Raw genomic sequence first — 17447 nt, forward strand, 5'->3', positions numbered from 1 at the left:
ATCATGGCAGGAGGCGAAAGGCACTTCTTACATGGCAAGAGAAAATGAGGAATATGCAAAAGCGGAAATCCCTGATAAAACCATCAGATCTTGTGAGACTTATTCACTACCATGAGAACAGTATGGGGGAAACTGCCCCCATGATTCCAGTTGTCTCCCACTGGGTCCCTCCCACAACATGTAGGAATTATGGGAGTACAATTCAAAATGAGATTTGGGTGGCGACACAGAGCCAAACTATATCAATGAGGGAGGATTTGATGATAGGCGGGGAAAAGTGGTGTAAATTGCTTCAGCACTTAGACAATTACAAGATTTTTTTTCTAAGTGGAATTTTTCTCTGAGATTGTAATATTTTTGTTTCACATAATCTAATGGGGAACATAATTAGGCCTGTGGCTAAGATTGTATCAGAAGCAGGCAATAAAAACAATTCAGGGATAATTACAACACACTTAAAAGACTCTTTTTCTGCTTTATATTTTCACTTAGAGGCAGAAACCATTTTTTTTGAATAGATTATAATATGGATAATCCATCCATACAGGATAGAGGGTCAACTAAATATCTAGAGGTAATATCTGATCTGAGGAAATTATGTTTTTAATTAATCTAATTTATTTCCCTTTAGTAGAGAGAAATCTATTGGTCAAGAGAGTTATAAACATCAGCTACAACTTTGTAGTAGAAGTGGATGGCTCTATTCCTGTAACTTGGATTCTAAACTAAAACTTTTGCTATAACCTCTATTACATTTGGAATATTGTTTAAAATATATATCCAAAAGGAAAATGAGGTTGAGAATTAATCATTATAAATATTGAGTATTAAAAATAAGTATTAGCATCTGTTGAATGCTTATCCCATAAGTGCACTTTGCATTAAGTTATTTCTTTAATCTTTACAATAACCATTTGAAAGAACTACTTTTATTATCCCCATTTACAGATGAAGAACCTGAAATGTATATACTTTAGTTATTACTAAAGGGAATAGGCTTCTTAGTATGTCAAAATATGGCAGATTGGGGATTTAAATAAAAGTACTTTTATTCTTTCTGAATTTGTTTCAGTTTGAATTATAGGGTAAGCCTTATGAAAACCTATGAGGAAATCTATTATTTTGAAAGAGTTTTTATATAATAAAAGCTGTTAGATGTTCACATATTTATATTGCACACATAAACATTCTAAAGACAGTATCACCAATGATAACTTGCTAAAGAAGAGGTTTATTGAATACAAAGAATTGACAACAGATTTCTGTAGGATAATCAAATGAGTCATATTTGTGTGTGGCATTCTTCTAGATGAATGGGGAGATGCTGTCATTGATTGCCCAGAAAGAAAGTAACAGAAAGACAACAGGTTAGACATTTTTCTTAGACATGCACATTTTTCTGGACAGATACATAATGCCTTTTCTTCGCAGGGGCTATGTGGCATACGTTCTCTGTTGCATCTCAAATTAATTGCTTTGAGATTTCTCTTCCAGGGAGTGGAGCCTGGTGGTAAGTATTTTGCTGCGTTGGTCTACCTCCTCAAGAACTTTCTTAACCACTATGGCTTTGGCTGGGTCTGAGCATTAAAAATTAAAAGGAGATTTTATGTAGTTAAAAAAAGAATAAAAATTATATCATTTAAAGGAATAATAGGATTTGCATACAGAATGAACTTTGCACTAAGCACAAATACTTAGACTCATTTTTGGTGAATAATTTTGATTATTTGGTTAGAAAAAACATGGTGACATGTTATTTTGTTTAAAATTAGCACAAATCACTAATATTAGACATCTAGCACATATGGATATCTACTACAAATCTTTATTGTATGTATTCTTACCAAGCCATGGTAATATAAGAACAATCAAGCTATGCATTAAAAATGAAGTAGTTGGGTATATATACCCAGAGGAATAGAAAACATTCTACCATAAAGACACATGCATGTGAATGTTCATTGCAGCATTATTCACAATAGCAAGAACAAGAAATCAACCTAAATGCCCATCAGTGACAGACTGGATAAAGCCATAAACACCATGGAATATTATGCAGCCATGAAAAAGAACAAGATCATGTCTTTTACAGGAACATGGATGGAGCTGGAGGCTATCATCCTTAGCAAGCTAACGCAGGAACAGAAAACCAAACACCACATGTTCTCACTTATAAGTGGGAGATAAATGATAAGGACTTATGAACACAAAGAAGGAAACAACAGATACTGGGTTCTACTTGAGGGGGAAGGGTGGGAGGAGGAAGAAGAGCAGAGAAGATAACTATTGGGTACCGGGCTTAATTCCTGGATGATCAAATAATATGCACAACAAACCTCCGTGACACGTGTTTACCTATGTAACAAACCTTCCAATGTACCCCCAAACCTAAATTAAAAGTTAAAAAATAAAAAATTAGCATTGCACAACAGATTTCATTTTAATTACCTTTGACTTGACTTCCCACATTTCCAGATCCATAATCTTTAGACTTGTAACCCCCAGACTTACAGGCTCTGTGAAAACATCGCAAAAGAGGGTGATTTAGAGAGAACCCCATCAATTCTAGGATCACCATATGGTTTTCTTTAGCTCTTTGGTAGTTTCAACTGTGTAACCCAGTATTTGATTTATAGTGTTTGCTGATTTCTGTAGAGGTATGAATACCTTCTCCATTGCTGATATCAAGTCACCAAGTGACATCACTAAGTGAGGGGTTAGGAAGAGAAGAGATAGGCAGAAGAGGCTGTCATGAGATGGTAACAGCAGTTCTAGCATGCCACTGGGTGTATTTATACAACTTAGGTTGAAATTCACCCTTTTAAGTTTTGCAGGTTTATGAATTGTGACAAATTTATATAGCTGTGTAAGGATTTACATTTGGAAGCATCACTCTAGTCAATGAGGGAGGGTTTGATGATAGGTGGGGAAGAGTGGTGTAGATCGCTTCAGCAGTTAGGCAATTACAAGATACTTTTCCTAAGTGGGGTTTTCTCTGAGACTGTAATGTTTTTGTTCTGCTTCAGCATTAAGAAGTGATTTTTTTTTCTGTATGATTCCTTTTATATTAACATCAAGAATGGATAAAATAATAACTGCCAAGGGAAGTGGGGCACAGAAGAACTTTCTGGGGTGATGAAAATGATCTTCATTGTGAATTCAGGAAGCTTCCTGCTCCTAACAACCCTGAGCTCTAGACATCCAGACTTGTGGCCATGGGACTTTATCAGTGCTATGAAGACAGGATTCTGTGAGTGCTGAGCTCCAGAAACCATTTCCAGAGTCAGAATCCTGGTCCACATATTGAAACTCCATTTAGCCTCCCGTTTGTTCTTTTCACTCTAGAAGTGATATTTTCAATGTTCATATCTTGAACTCGGTGCCTGCTGCATATTGGTTTAAGATATTAATTTGTATTTTGGCAGTTGAGTATGTATTATATTTAATATTTAGTATTCATGATAATAAATGCATGCAGCCAAATTATGTCCGCTTTCCAGTGGAAAGTGGGATCTAAGTTGCAAGCAGATTTCAGTATATTACGCCATCTATGCAGATTATTTTACCTACCCATCATCTCCTCCTATAAGGAGACAGTAGGTCTCAATTTCTTTTTCCAGGTGGAGCTTGATGTCCAGGAGCTGCTCATACTCCAGCTTCTGGCCCTCGGTCTCGGTTCTGACCTGGTGCAGCTGCTCCTCCAGGGCCCCGATCTGAGCCTGGATCTGCGCCAGCTGCGCACAGTAGTTGCTCTCGGTCTCTGTCAAGGAGCACTCCAGGGAGTGTTTCTGTCAGGAAGCAATAAAGAGAACTTGAAATGGATATGCAGATATGCAGGGATTTCTTTGATACATGATTTTCTCCTGCTGTTAACTTTACATATAATTGTTTCAGATTTCACATGGACACATAGTTAAGACTCTGTGATACTGCTTGAAAATGAGCAAATCCTTCTTTTTAGTAGAATAAACCTAAAGACATTCGTGTAGTTTTAGGTGTCAGCTATACAATCCTATTCTTTCCTTATGTTTTGAGACAATTATAAACAAATATATTTCAATATTGTTAAGGTTTTTAAAACCAGCTGGCAAGTATCTAACATGATGACCTGGGAGATGGTGAAAAAAAATTGTTCTTTTCATACCGTGGCTAGGAGAGACTGAAGTTCAATTTCCAGGGTTTGAAGAGTGCGCTTCATTTCAGTCAGCTCATTCCGGGCTGAGGTTGTGGCTCCGACATCCTCAGAGATCTGCTGCTGCAGGGAGGCGCTCTGAAATGACATAAGTGAAGGAGCAAATCTTAGTTTTGTGAATACCAGTAACATGCAAAGGGACCGTTTTCTGGAGGAGAGTCACCTTCTCGTTGAACCAGGCCTCCGCGTCCCTGCGGTTCTGCTCTGCAAGGGCTTCGTACTCAGCTCGCATGTTGTTCAGCAGAACTGTGAGGTCCACCCCGGGGGCTGCGTTCATCTCCACGTTCACGTTGCCTCCAGCTGCGCACTGCAGAACTTGCATTTCCTAGAGGCAGAAAAGTGTTCTGCTCAGCTCTGCAGGAATCTCATGGAAAGTCTAGAAGCTTAGCTTTGGAAGGGCACTTAGAGTTCGTCTGGTTTTCCCCTCCCAGGCTGTGCATTGACCCCCTCCCACCACATTTGATACTTCCTGTCCCGTTGACCTAATTCTCAAAGACGGTGAACTCACTACCTTATGAAGTAGCCTGTTTCATTCTGGGAGAGTTTTAATTGTTCCAGAGTTCTTTATTATAGTGAGCCAAACTCCTGCTCTTATAACTTAAACTCATCAGTTTCAGTTCTACTACTCAGAATGCATCTTAATTCCTTTTCCATATGAAAGTTTTAAACATTTAAAATGAATGGTCCTCCATCGCTTATTCTATTCTCGGCCTTTGTGGACTGGTCTTCCTTCCACTAGAGGCCAGCTTTGGTGCAGTGTTAACTCAGCTACACCCTGAGCACAGCCATGAACATGGTTGAAGGGTTGAGTATGAATAATTCTGAACAATTGAAATGATGATAAATAAATAAATGTATGTGTGTGTGTGTGTGTGTGCGTGCGTGTGTGTGTGTGTGTGTGTGTGTGTGTGTACCCCTCAGGGAAGAACATCATCCCCTAAAGAATCCCAGCTGTCTATTAAGTCTATACAGGGACATTACAGTATCATGTTGGACTTTGGAGTCACGCAGATCTCTCTGAATTTTGGTTCTGCCCTATAGTGGCTAGTGAGTTTGGGAAAGTTGCTTAACCTTTTTACGTTTCTATTTGCTTATCTGAAAATTGAGGATAATTAAAAACCCTTCTCTGAGTTGTTAAAAGAAGTCAAAGAACTAATAATAATAATAAGACTCCGTGATACTGCCTTGCACATAAATGCTAAATGAATGCTGGTTATTATGATTATTATCATCATGGAAGCTGGAATTTATTTTGCAGTCAAAGTCTACATGTTACCCTGTCTGAACTGCAAGCTGTTAGAATGTGTGAGTCAGTTCTAAGATTGTGAATGGTAGGCATCGCTGCGAAGACTGTGTATATTGGAATACCACCCATCAGCTTATGTCTGCTGCAGAAACTCTCCTCCCCATTCATGAATTGGTCTTAATGATGGTAACTAAGGCTTTCATTCCTCCCTGCAGCGAGCCCCTCAGCCATTCCAGCCTTCTTTCCTCCTGGTTGAAACTATGTCTTCCTGATCTACAGATGTGGCTTTTACTTCTGAGGATTTAGTGAAAACTTCCTGGTTCAAGCATAAAAAGAAAAAGATAAAAAAAGATATATGTATATCATCTATATCTATATATCTATATCTATATCTATATCTAGGGTTGCCTGTAAATGAGGCATTACAAAAATCAATTGCTTTTGATTCATCAAAAATTGATTAAACACCATGGGCTGTAACTATATTTGAATCCACGTAGTCAAATCAATGTTATTCAAGTAGTTATATTTATAAGACAGCCTCATGACTAATCAAGTAGGATTCTTAGCTTGATCTTCTGTTTTAAGCATTTGGCTTGACCATAGAAGTCTTTTGGCTATTTAAAATATCAAATTTATTTTCAAAGGATAAAGATTTTTCCCTTTTGGAAAACAGTGCCTCTGAAAGCAATCCTAAAGATGTAATTGCTGCAATATAAAATTTGGAACTTAGCTTCCAACAGTGACCACTTTGGAAGTTTATGATTAAGTGTAAATTCTGGTATAATAGTTTAACTTCATGCTCATTATTTTTACAGCCAGACCTATTAAGAATATGTACTAGCGTTAAGTATGTATACTTAATGTGTGTATGAAGTAAATGTTTTAGTGTTTTAAATCTGCCACTGTCATTTAGAAATTGAGATCTAGTTTTCTAGTTTAAGGATGGCCTTAAAGTATATTTATTTTATATTTATTTTATCTAATTAGACTTAATGTCCAAAGCGGATCATTTTAACTTAGTTATAATTACACAGCCAAACACTGCTCTTATAACCCTGATTGGTCTGGAAAACATGATTCGTTTTTTTTTTTCCCCATAGGAAACTTGATGAGAGAGCAAGGGTGAATCTGTACAAAGAATCTGACACTTAAAAAGACAGCTCAGGCCGGGTGCGGTGGCTCACGCCTGTAATCCCAGCACTTTGGGAGGCTGAGGCAGGTGGATCACGAGGTCAGGAGATCGAGACCATCCTGGCTTACACAGTGAAACCCCGTCTCTACTAAAAATACATAAAATTAGCCGGGCGCCTGTAGTCCCAGCTACTCGGGAGGCTGAGGCAGGAGAATGCCGTGAACCCAGGAGGCGGAGCTTGCAGTGAGCCAAGATCGCACCATTGCACTTCAGCCTGGACGGCAGAGCGAGACTCCGTCTCAAAAAAAAAAAAAAAAAAAAAAAAAAAAAAAAAAAAAAAAGACAGCTCAGCCCTCATGTCTGTCTGACAATGTGTCTTCAGCACCAACTTTTTATATGAGAGGTTATGTACATTATCTCCTGTCAGGTGCACAGTGTCTGCGGAGGGATAGCAAAATGTAGACGACCAGCTCTTACCTCTTTATGGTTCTTTTTGAGGTAAGTCATCTCCTCACTCAGGGTTTCATACTGAATCTCCAGATCTGTTCTGCACAGGGTTATTTCATCCAAAACTCTTCGTAACCCATTGACATCAGCCTCTACACTCTGGTGAAGAGCCAGCTCATTTTCATACCTTAAAGAGTGTTAATGATTTCCTAATTTGTCACATGGTTGGAGACATAGTCACTAGTCACTGATCAATGACAAATGCTAGCATTCTGGAATTTTGAAGATTTGGCCACAAGAGGCATTTTCAAAGCTTGTTGTATAATAATTATTGTTTCTACTTTGCAGTATTTGACAGAAAAAGAACTAGGGTATTGGGCGCTAGTTTTAATAGCAGTTCATGCTTTGTATTTAATAGTCAAAGCATAAAAAAGTAATAACATCCTGTTTATGTGAAATTCAAGTGTTTTATAATTTTGGAATAAGAGTTGCTAAATTTGATGTAATGCGTTGCATGAATTGCCATGAATTCATTTCACTCTGGCAGTCTACTTACTTGAGTCTGAAATCATCAGCTGTAAGCCTGGCATTATCGATCTGCAGAACAGCATTAGCATTGCTGGTGGTGGATGCGATGATCTAGAAATGGGAATTTGACTTTTATCATGAAGTAAACCAACTGAATCTACTTAATGCTTATTTCTAATGCTAAATTGGAATTCTCTTTAAGAAATCACAAGTAGGAGGGCATGGTGGCAGGCACCTGTAATCCCAGCTACTTGGGAGGCTGAGGCAGGAGAATCTCTTGAACCCAGGAGGTGGAGGTTGCAGTGAGCCAAGATCCCACGGTTGCACTCCAGCCTGGGCAACAAGAGCAAAACTCCTTCTCAAAAAAAAAAAAAAAAAAAAATCACAAGTAGGAATGATAAATGTTTTTAGAATTTAATAAAGAAAGGAAAACAAAATTTAGAAATAAAGGTACATGAAAATGATTGTGCAGTATGATTTCTTACCTGATTTTTAAGGTCATCAATTATTGGGAAATATCTGCTATAGTCATGATCAAGACCACGGCAAGAGCCAGGCCCAAATTTCTCATACCAGCCCTTGATCTTCTGCTCCAGGTCAGCGTTGGCCTCCTCCAGAGCATGCACACTGTCCAGGTAGGATGCCAGGCGGTCATTGAGGTTCTGCATGGTCACCTTCTCATTGCCAGAAAGGAGCCCCCGCTCATTCACAGTGAAGCCAGCACAGGGATTACCTCCCCCTGTGTTTCCTCCCGATGAGCTGCCTCCGAAGGCACTAGAGAAGCCACTTCCAATCCCTGAAATGCCACAAGAATTTCCAGTACCAAAGCTGGTTCCCCCACCATAGAGTCTGAGTGATCCAGTGGTGGGACGAGGACAGGACCTCCTGGATGCACTGGAAAGTCGAAGAGACATGGTATCAGGGCAAACGCGTTGCAGAGCTGTATTTGTGAAAGCCAGAATGGAGTGCCTTCTTGTCTAAAAGGTTTGGTTTGCCTTTTTATAGGCAAGTCCCAAGTGTGTTCTGAATGAAATTCTGCCTACACAGAGTAAAACATGGCTTGCCAGTCTCAGCAAGTTGGCATAATTGGGTGATTTTTTCTAATTAGTAACTCACTTTGCTGGGCTCATTCCTGTAGGAGGGCAGTTGCCCTCAGGTTGGTGGTTATCTGAGAAATGGGTCTGGGTGGAGCAATGTCAGGTTCATTATTACGTTTTTAAATGCTGAGTGAGTCATTCTTCACTTCCATCCTTGGAAGTAAACCTCATCAGCTCATTACAGGATAGAAATTTAGCATCATGGTTTTGGGCTATTATGCCAAGGCAGATTGTGATGTTTCTGAGGCTTTTTCTGCTTTTATTTTCACAAGTTTTTCCACATAAGTAGAGAATAGAACTGTAATCATTTCCCCAACCTGGTTCTTCAACCAATAGGTTTTTGTTTTTATTTTTAAATTCCTCTTGCCACTCTTTCCCATGGGAAGTTAACTTCCATTCTGGCTGACATGAGCATCATATTCTGTTGACACTTATGACTGAGGAGAGTTGTCTTACCTTATCCATTTTGGTAATTAGGAGCACACCCCTAATTGGTGTTATGTTTTGTGGGAGTTTGGAAAGACATTAACTTATTTCCTGACCCTGCAAAATCTGAAGCAAACCTGGTAGGAACTATTTTTTCTGTCTTAATTTATTGTGGTTTAGCTCAGATGAAAGTCATCAGTAAGGTATTTAGTCGGTGGGAATTCACATATATTTACTGAAAACTCTACCTATTATGGAAATATAAAAAATTGACAAATAAGGCCAGGCACAGTGGCTTACGCCTGTAATCCTAGCACTTTGGGAGGCTGAGGCAGGTGGATCACTTGAGGTCAGGCATTTGAGACCAGCCTCACCAACATGGTGAAACCCCATCTCTACTAAAAATACAAAAATTAGCCAGGCATCATGGCGAGGTGCCTGTAATCCCAGCTACTCGGGAGGCTGAGGCAAGAGAATCAATTGAACCTGGGAGGCAGAGGTTACAGTGAGCTAAGATTGTGTCACTGCACTCCAGCCAGAGTGACAGAATGAGACTCTGCCTCAAAAAAAAAAAAATGAGAAATAAAAATTGTATATATTTATGGTGCACGACATGATTTTTTGATATATGAATATATTGTGTAATGACCAAATCAAGCTAATTAACATATCTATTACCTCACATACCTATTTTGTGGTAAGAACATTTAAAATCTACTTTCTTATTGTTATTAACTATAGTCACCATATTGTACAATAGTTATCCTGAACTTATTCTTCCCACCTAAATGAAATTTTGTATTCTTTGACCAAAATTTCCCTAGTGCACTTCCCTGATGATTAGTGATGTTGAGCACCTTTTCATAAACCTATTGGCTATTTGTATGTCTTTTGAGAAATGTCTTTTTTTTTTTTGTTTGAGACGGAGCCTCACTCTGTCGCCAAGGCTGGAGTGCAGTGGTGCGATCTGGGCCCACTGCAAGCTCCGCCTCCTGGGTTCAAGCCATTCTCCTGCCTCAGCCTCCTGAGTAGCTGGGACTACAGGCATCCGCCACCACACCCGGCTAATTTCTTTTTGTATTTTTAGTAGAGATGGGGTTTCACTGTGTTAGCCAGGATGGTCTCGATCTCCTGACCTCGTGATCCTCCCACCTCGGCCTCCCAAAGTGCTGGGATTACAGGCGTGAACCACTGTCCCTGGCTGACAAATGTCTTTTTAATCACATTCTTTTCTTGTTATTGAGTTGTTTGAATTACTTATATATTTTGGATATTAAGCCTTGATCAGATGTATGGTTCATAGCATTTCATCCAACAGGTTCATCCATGTTGTCACAAATGACAGAATTTCCCTTTTTAAAGGCTGAATAGTATCCCATTGGGTATATATACTATATTTTCTTTATTACTTCATTTGTTGATGGATGCTTAGGTTGAATCCCTTTCTTGGCTATTGTGAATCATGCTACAATGTGCATGGAATGCAGATATCTCCTTGACATACTGATTTCGTTTCCTTTCAATACTCAGTAGTGGGATTGTTGGGTCACATGGTAGTTCTACTTTTAATTTTTTGAGGAATCACTATACTGCTTTCCATAATGGCTGTATTAATTTAAATTTACACAAACAGTGTACAAGGATTTTCTTTCTCCACTTTCTTACTAACACTTGTTATTTCTTGTCATTTTCATAATAGCCATTCTAGCAGGTGTGAGGTGATATCTCATTGTGTTTTTCATTTGCATTTCATTCATGATTAGTAGTGTTGAGCATTTTTTCCCATATACCTGTTGGCCATTGGTATGTCTTCTTTTAAGAAATATCTTTTAAAATGGGTTATTTGTTTTTGTTATTTTTGTTGAGTTGCTTGAGTTTCTTATATATTTTGGGTATTAGTCCTGTGTCACAAGTGTGCTTCACAATATTTTCTCCCAATCTGTGAGTTATCTCTTCATTCTGTTAATTATTTCATTTGCTATGTAGAAGCTTTTTAGTTTAATGTAATCTCATTTATGTATTTTTTCTTTTGTTGCCTGTGTATATGGGGTCATATAAAAAAATCTTTGCCCAGACTAATGTCAAGAAGTTTTTCCCCTATGTTTTCTTCTAGTAGTTTTACAGTTTCACGTATTATGCTTACCTGTTTAATATATTTTGAGTGGATTCTTGTATATAGGGTGAGATAAAGGTCCAATTTCATTTTTCTGAAATATAGTTTCCCCAACACCATTTACTAAAAATACTGTTCTTTCCCCATTTTGTGTTCTTGGCACCTTTGTTTGAAAATCATTTGGCTGTAAATGCATAGATTTATTTTTGGGCTCTTTATTCTGTGTCATTGGTCTATATGTCACTTTTTGTGCCAGTGTTGTGATGTTTTGATTACTATAGATTTGTAGTAGATTTTGAGATCAGATAGTGTGATGCTTCAACTGTTCTTTTTGCTCAAGATTGCTTTGTCTATTCAGGATCTTTTGTGGTTCTATATGAATTTTAGAATTCATGTTTTTTTCTCTTTTTGTGAAAATGTCATTGGAATTTTGATTGGAATCACACTGAATCTGTATATCACTTTGGGTAATATAAACATTTTAACAATATTAATTCTTCCAATCCATGAACATGGCATATGTTTCCATTTATTTTTGTCTTCATCAACTTATTTCATCAATGTTTTATAGTTTCACTTATTTCTCTTCTGATCCTTGGTATTTTCTCCTTCTACCAACTTTGGGCTTAGGTTGTTCTTCTTTTTTTCTAGTTCCTTCATGTGTAATGGTAGGTTATTTCTTTTTTTAAATGTAGGCATTTATTGTTATAAACTTCTCTCTTAAAACTGCTTCTGCTACATCCCATAAATTTTGTCATATGTTTCCATCTTCATTTGTCTCTAGATATTTTTTGATTTCCCTTTCGATTTCTTCTTTGCCCCATTGGTTGTTCAGGAACATATTGTTTAATTTTCACATATTTGTGAACTTTCCAAATTTCCTCCTGTTATTGATTTCTAATTTCATACTATTGTGGATAAAAAATACTTGATATAATTTTAATCTGAAGTTTGTTAAGACTTGTTTGTGACCTAACATATAATCTATCATGGAGACTGTTCTGTGTGTGCTTGAGAAGAATGTGTATTCTGCTCTTGTTTGATATAATGTTCTATATACATCTGTTAGGTCCACTTGGTCTAAAGTGTAGTTTAAGTCTAATCTTTCCTTACTAATTTTCTGTCTGGATGATTGATCCATTGTTGAAACTGTTGTACTGAAGTCCCCTACTATTGTTGCATTGTTGTCTATTGCTCCCTTCATACCTGTTAATGTTTGCTTTATATATTTAGGTGCTCTGATGTTGGGTGCATATATATTTACAATTGTTATATCCTCTTGATGAATTGTCTTCTTTATCATTACATAATGACTTTCTTTCTTTTTATAGTTTTTGACTTAAAGTCTACTTTTCTCTGATATAAATATAGCTACCTTTGCTCTTTTTTGTTTCTATTTGCATGGAATATCTTTTTCCATCCCTTCACTTTTAGTCTATGTGTGTCCTTAAAGCTGAAGTGAGTCTCTTGTAGACAGCATACAGATTTTGTGTATGTGTGTGTGTGTGTTTGCCTTTTTAGTACCCTTAGCTATTCTGTGTCATTTGATTGGAGAATGTAATCCATTTATATTCAAGGTAATTATTGATAGGTAAGGACTTACTACTGCCATTTTGTTGTTTTCCAGTTGTTTCGTAGATCCTTTGTTTCTTTTTTCCTTTCTTGCTGTCTGCCTTTGTGATTTGACAACTTTCTCTAGTGGCATGCTTTGATTCCTTTCTCTTTCTCTTTTGTGTATCTACTATAGAATTTTGCTTTGTGGTTATCATGAGACTTACACTGAACATGTTAGAACAGGTTATTTTAGGCTGATAACTTCAACTGCATTCAAAAACTTTACAGTTTTACTACCCCTCCATCTATTTTTTTGATGTCACAATTTATATCTCTTTATATTGTGTATTCCTTAACAAATTATTGTACTTATAATTAGTTTTAATAGTTTGGTCTTTTAACCTTTATACCAGATATAAGTGATGTGTACACCACCATTACAGTAGTATATTCTGAATTTGTATATTTACCTTTAACAGTGAGTTTTTTTAACTTTCATATGTTTTCATGTTGCTAATTAGAGTTCCTTTGTTTCAACTAATTGACCTATCTTTATCATTTCTTGTAAGGGAGGCAATGAACTCCCTCAGCTTTTGTTTGGGGATATCTCCTTAATTTATGAAGCCCAGACTTTTCTGGGTATGATATTCTTGGTTGGCAGGTTTTTTTCTTTCAGCACTTTGAATATATTATCCTACTGTCCTGACTTGCAAGGTTTCTGTTGAGAAGTCTGTTGATAGCCTCATGGGGGTTCCCTTGTATGTAATCAGTCTCTTATCTTTTGCTGCTTTCAAGATTCTCTCTGTCTTTTGGCAATTTTTAAAAAATTTTACTTTAAGTTCTGGGATACATGTGCAGAATGTGCAGGTTTGTTACATAGGTATATATGTGCCATGGTGGTTTGCTGCACCTATCAACCTGCCATCTAGGTTTTAAGCCCCACATGCATTAATGTGCCTCAGAGTGTTTGTCTTTGGGTTGATCTTGCTTGGGATCCTTTGAATTTCGTGAATCTGTATGTCCATATCCCTCTCAAGATTTGGGATGTATTTCTTTACATAAGCTTTCTTTCCTTTTCTCTCTTTCCTCCTTCTGAAATCCTCATAATGTATATATTTGTATGCTTGGTGGGATAGACTAGATCCTGTATGCCTTCTTTACTCTTTTTTATTATTTAAACATTTTTGTTCCTCTAATTCAGTAATTTAAAATGCCCTTTCTTTGAGTTTGCTAATTCTTTCTTCTGCATGATAGAGTCTGCTGTTGAAGCTTTCTATTGAATTTTTCAGTTTTGTCATTGTATTCTTCAGGTCTAGGATTTCTGGTTTTATTTTTATGGTTTCTATTTTAAAAATTAAGCTTCTCATCTTGTTTATGCATTGTTTTCCTAATTTCATTTAGTTATTTATCTATGTCTTTTTGCATCTTATTGAGCTTCTTTAAGATGATTATTTTGAATTTTCTTTCAGGCAATTTGTAGATCTCCCTTTCTTTGGGGTCAGTTACTGGAGCCTTATTAGTTTCCTTTGGTGGTGTCATGCTTGCCTTATTCTTCATTATTCATGTAGTCTTGCATTGGTATCTGTGCATTTGAAGGCACAAATACCTCCTTCATTTTTTTTTTTTGAGACAGGATCTTACTCTGTCACCCAGGCTGGAGTGCAGTGGCGTGATCTCAGCTCACTGCAATCTCTGGCTCCCAGGCTCAAGTGATCCTTCCACCTCAGCCTCCTGAGTAACTGGAATGACAGGCATATGCCACCATACTCAGCTAATTTTTATATGTTTTGTGGAGATGGGGTTTTGCCATATTGCCCAGGCTGGTCTTGAACTCCTGAGCTCAAGCCATCCACCCGCCTCAGCCTCCCAAAGTGCTGGGATTACAGGTGAAAGCCACCACACCTGGCCCTCTTTAAATCTTTATAGACTGCTTTTGGCAGTTTAAGGCCTTCTTCTATTAGGTTCCTGTGGTGATGGGATTGTGGTCAAATGAGGTTGGAGCTGGATCACATGGCTATTGCTGAGTCCACAGTGGGGTCTATAGTTGATAGGTCTGTTACCAGGGGCTGTAGTAGCTGTGGATTCTGTGTAGTCTCTGGGTTGACTGGACTGTCTGTAGAACCTTGGTCCATAGAGCTGGCACTGGGATGAGAGTCCATTTCAAGATCTGTAGATGATGGGCCATTACCAGGTGTGTGAGTGGGTGTGGCTTCTTCTGTGTCTCTGGAAAGTCTCCCAGTGGATCACTAAGTGAGACCCTGGGTATGTAGTGCTGCTCAAGTCCATGGCTGAGACAAGTTAGAACTGAGTTTTGGGGCTGCTTTAGAGCCTGTAACTGAGACTGAGCTCTTCAGACCTGTCTTTGGGGTCACAGAAGGGTATGTTTTCTGGTGGGTCCCCGGGCAGGCAGGCTTGCTCTCAGACCACAGTTGATAGAGGCTGGTGCTGAATTACAGGGCCATTTCAAGATCCACAGCAGGACCAAGATCAGTGGGTCAGGCTATAGGAGCACTGATGAGCATGTCTGTCTCCAGGTCTTGTGTGCGCAGCACTACTCTCAAGCCTCAGCTGAGAGGGGCTGGGACTGCTTTTCAGGGCCATTTCAGGATCTTCTGTGGGACCCAGGTCAGCTGGGCTGCCTGTGGAGCTCAGATGAGAGTGCCTCCCTCTGGATTCCTGGGCAGTTAGAACTTCTCTCTGACCACAGCTGAGAAGGGCTAGGGCCCAGATTCAGGTTTGTTTTAGGGATGCTGTAAAATTGAGATTGGCAAGCCTGCCCTGGGGACACAGAATGGTGTGTCTCCCAGCAGATCCCTGACGAGGCAGAAGTGCTTAGTCTGCAGCTGAGAGGGGCTGGGGTTGAAATTTAGAGCTATTTAGGGATCTGTTGTGGGACCAAGATTGGCAAGCCTGCCCTGAAGACTCAGATGGACATGTCTCCCTCTGGGTCCCTGTGGAAGCAGGACTAATCTCATGCTGTAGCTGACAGGGGCAGGGGATGAGTTAGAGGATATTTTTAGGATGCATAGCTGAGACAGAGGTTGGTGGGCCTGTCTTCTGATGTACTAGTGTGCATAATTCCTCTTTGACAAATGTTTTTGGTAGCAGGACCAAGAGAAAATGGGGTTGTAGCCAAGCTTGCAAGGATATGGGGCAGTTTCTAGGTCTGGGGATGGGACCATGATCAGTAAGTGCCAACTGGGTGTGGGTCTGTCCTGTAAAAATGAAACTCCTAGGTCTTGGGCTCTACCAGAGCTTTATAAACTCCTACCTGAATCCCAAGGCTCCTACAAAGGCACTTTTGCCTGTTGATGACTATTATGAAATTATTGTTCCTTTGGGGGATATGAGTGGGGGATCTCCTATTCCACCATCTTGCTAATGTCTTTTCTGTTTCATGAATCTTTTAAATATGTAGATCCATGGATCATTTAGAAGTATGTCATTTAATTTCCAAGTGTTGAGAGATTTTTCTTTTGACTTTGTATTATTAATTTCTGGTTTGATTCCATTATGATCAGAGAACATATTCAGTATAATTTCAATTCTTATAAATTTTACAAGGTTTATTATATGACCTAAGATATGGTCTATGTTCCACTGGTGCATGAGAAGAATGTGTTTTCTGCTCTTATTGAGTGCAGTGTTCTATAAATGTCAATTAAATTCTGTGGTTTGATGGTGTTCAGTTCTTCTATTCATCATCACTAATTTTCTGTCCAGTAGTTCTATCAATTGCTGAGAATTGGGCATTGAATTTTTCAGCTATAATTTTGGATTTGTCTCTTTCTCCTTTCTACTCCGTTAGTTTTTGCCTCATGTATTTGAAAGCTTAGTGGTTTAGTGTATTTAGAGTTGCTGTATCTTCTTAGGGACCTTTTTATTATTACATAATATCACTCTTTGTCTCTAGTAACATTCTTTGCTTCAAAGTTTACTTTGGTATTAATTCAGCCACTCCTGATTTTTTAAATTAATGTTTGCATGATATAGCTTTTTCTGTCCTTTTACTTTCAACCTACCTGTGTCACTATGTTTGAAGTGAATTTCTTGTAGATAGCATATTGTTGGGTTGTGTCCTAGAGAAACTCATGCAGTCATGTACTAGGTAACATGTAAGGGATATTTATAGTAGTAGTATTCATAATAGTTTCAAACTGGAAACCATTCCAGAATAGAATGCATAACATTGTGGCAAATATTTTAAAAGTGCTGCCAATCTGGTTGGTGTGTGATAGTATTTCATGTGGTTTTAATTTGTTATTTTTCTGGTTACTATGGGGTTGAGCACTTTTTAGAAATTTAATGACAATTTGGAATTTCCGTCAGCATATTGAAGATATTGTTCTATTGTCTCCTGCCTTCCATTGTTGCTGTTGAGAAGTCACTGTGTATCTCACTGTTACTCATTTGAAAGTAATCATTATTTTCCTATATGGCTGATTTTTAAGGTCTTTTGTTTGTTATTTTGTGGTTTTACTATGATTTTTCTACATGTGGATTTCTTTTTATCTTGTCTTTAGTTTCACAATTGGTAGCTCACAATTAAGGATGTCCCATAAAAGTTTTTGGGATTTGTCAAGTGTTGGTGACAGTCTTTCACTTTTTTCATTTTTTTGCTAATACTAACTTTTTGGAAACAAAGCTGAGTACGTAAACTTTCCAGCCTTCATTTCAAGAAGTATGGTTGATTCATCAACAGCATGTAT

At 38.1% G+C, this 17447-nt stretch overlaps 1 protein-coding gene across 2 annotated transcripts; it reads right to left on the reverse strand.

Annotated features, from left to right (window-relative positions):
• Positions 1212 to 8733, reverse strand: KRT25 (keratin 25). 2 transcript variants are annotated; one of them, XM_011524414.2, is made up of 9 exons: positions 8665 to 8733; positions 8034 to 8442; positions 7577 to 7659; positions 7051 to 7207; positions 4356 to 4517; positions 4145 to 4270; positions 3571 to 3788; positions 2449 to 2516; positions 1212 to 1577 (listed from the first exon to the last, which is right to left on the reverse strand). In XM_011524414.2, exons 1-9 carry the CDS (start codon positions 8676 to 8678, stop codon positions 1468 to 1470), a joined length of 1347 nt encoding a protein of 448 aa, XP_011522716.1. In that variant the 5' UTR covers positions 8679 to 8733; the 3' UTR covers positions 1212 to 1467. The 2 variants fall into 2 exon arrangements, with proteins under 2 accessions (XP_011522716.1, NP_853512.1); NM_181534.4 differs by lacking the exon at positions 8665 to 8733 and having other exon boundaries at positions 8034 to 8522.

This window comes from Homo sapiens, chromosome 17 (genome assembly GCF_000001405.40).
Source record: "Homo sapiens chromosome 17, GRCh38.p14 Primary Assembly".
Lineage (NCBI taxonomy): Eukaryota > Metazoa > Chordata > Mammalia > Primates > Hominidae > Homo > Homo sapiens.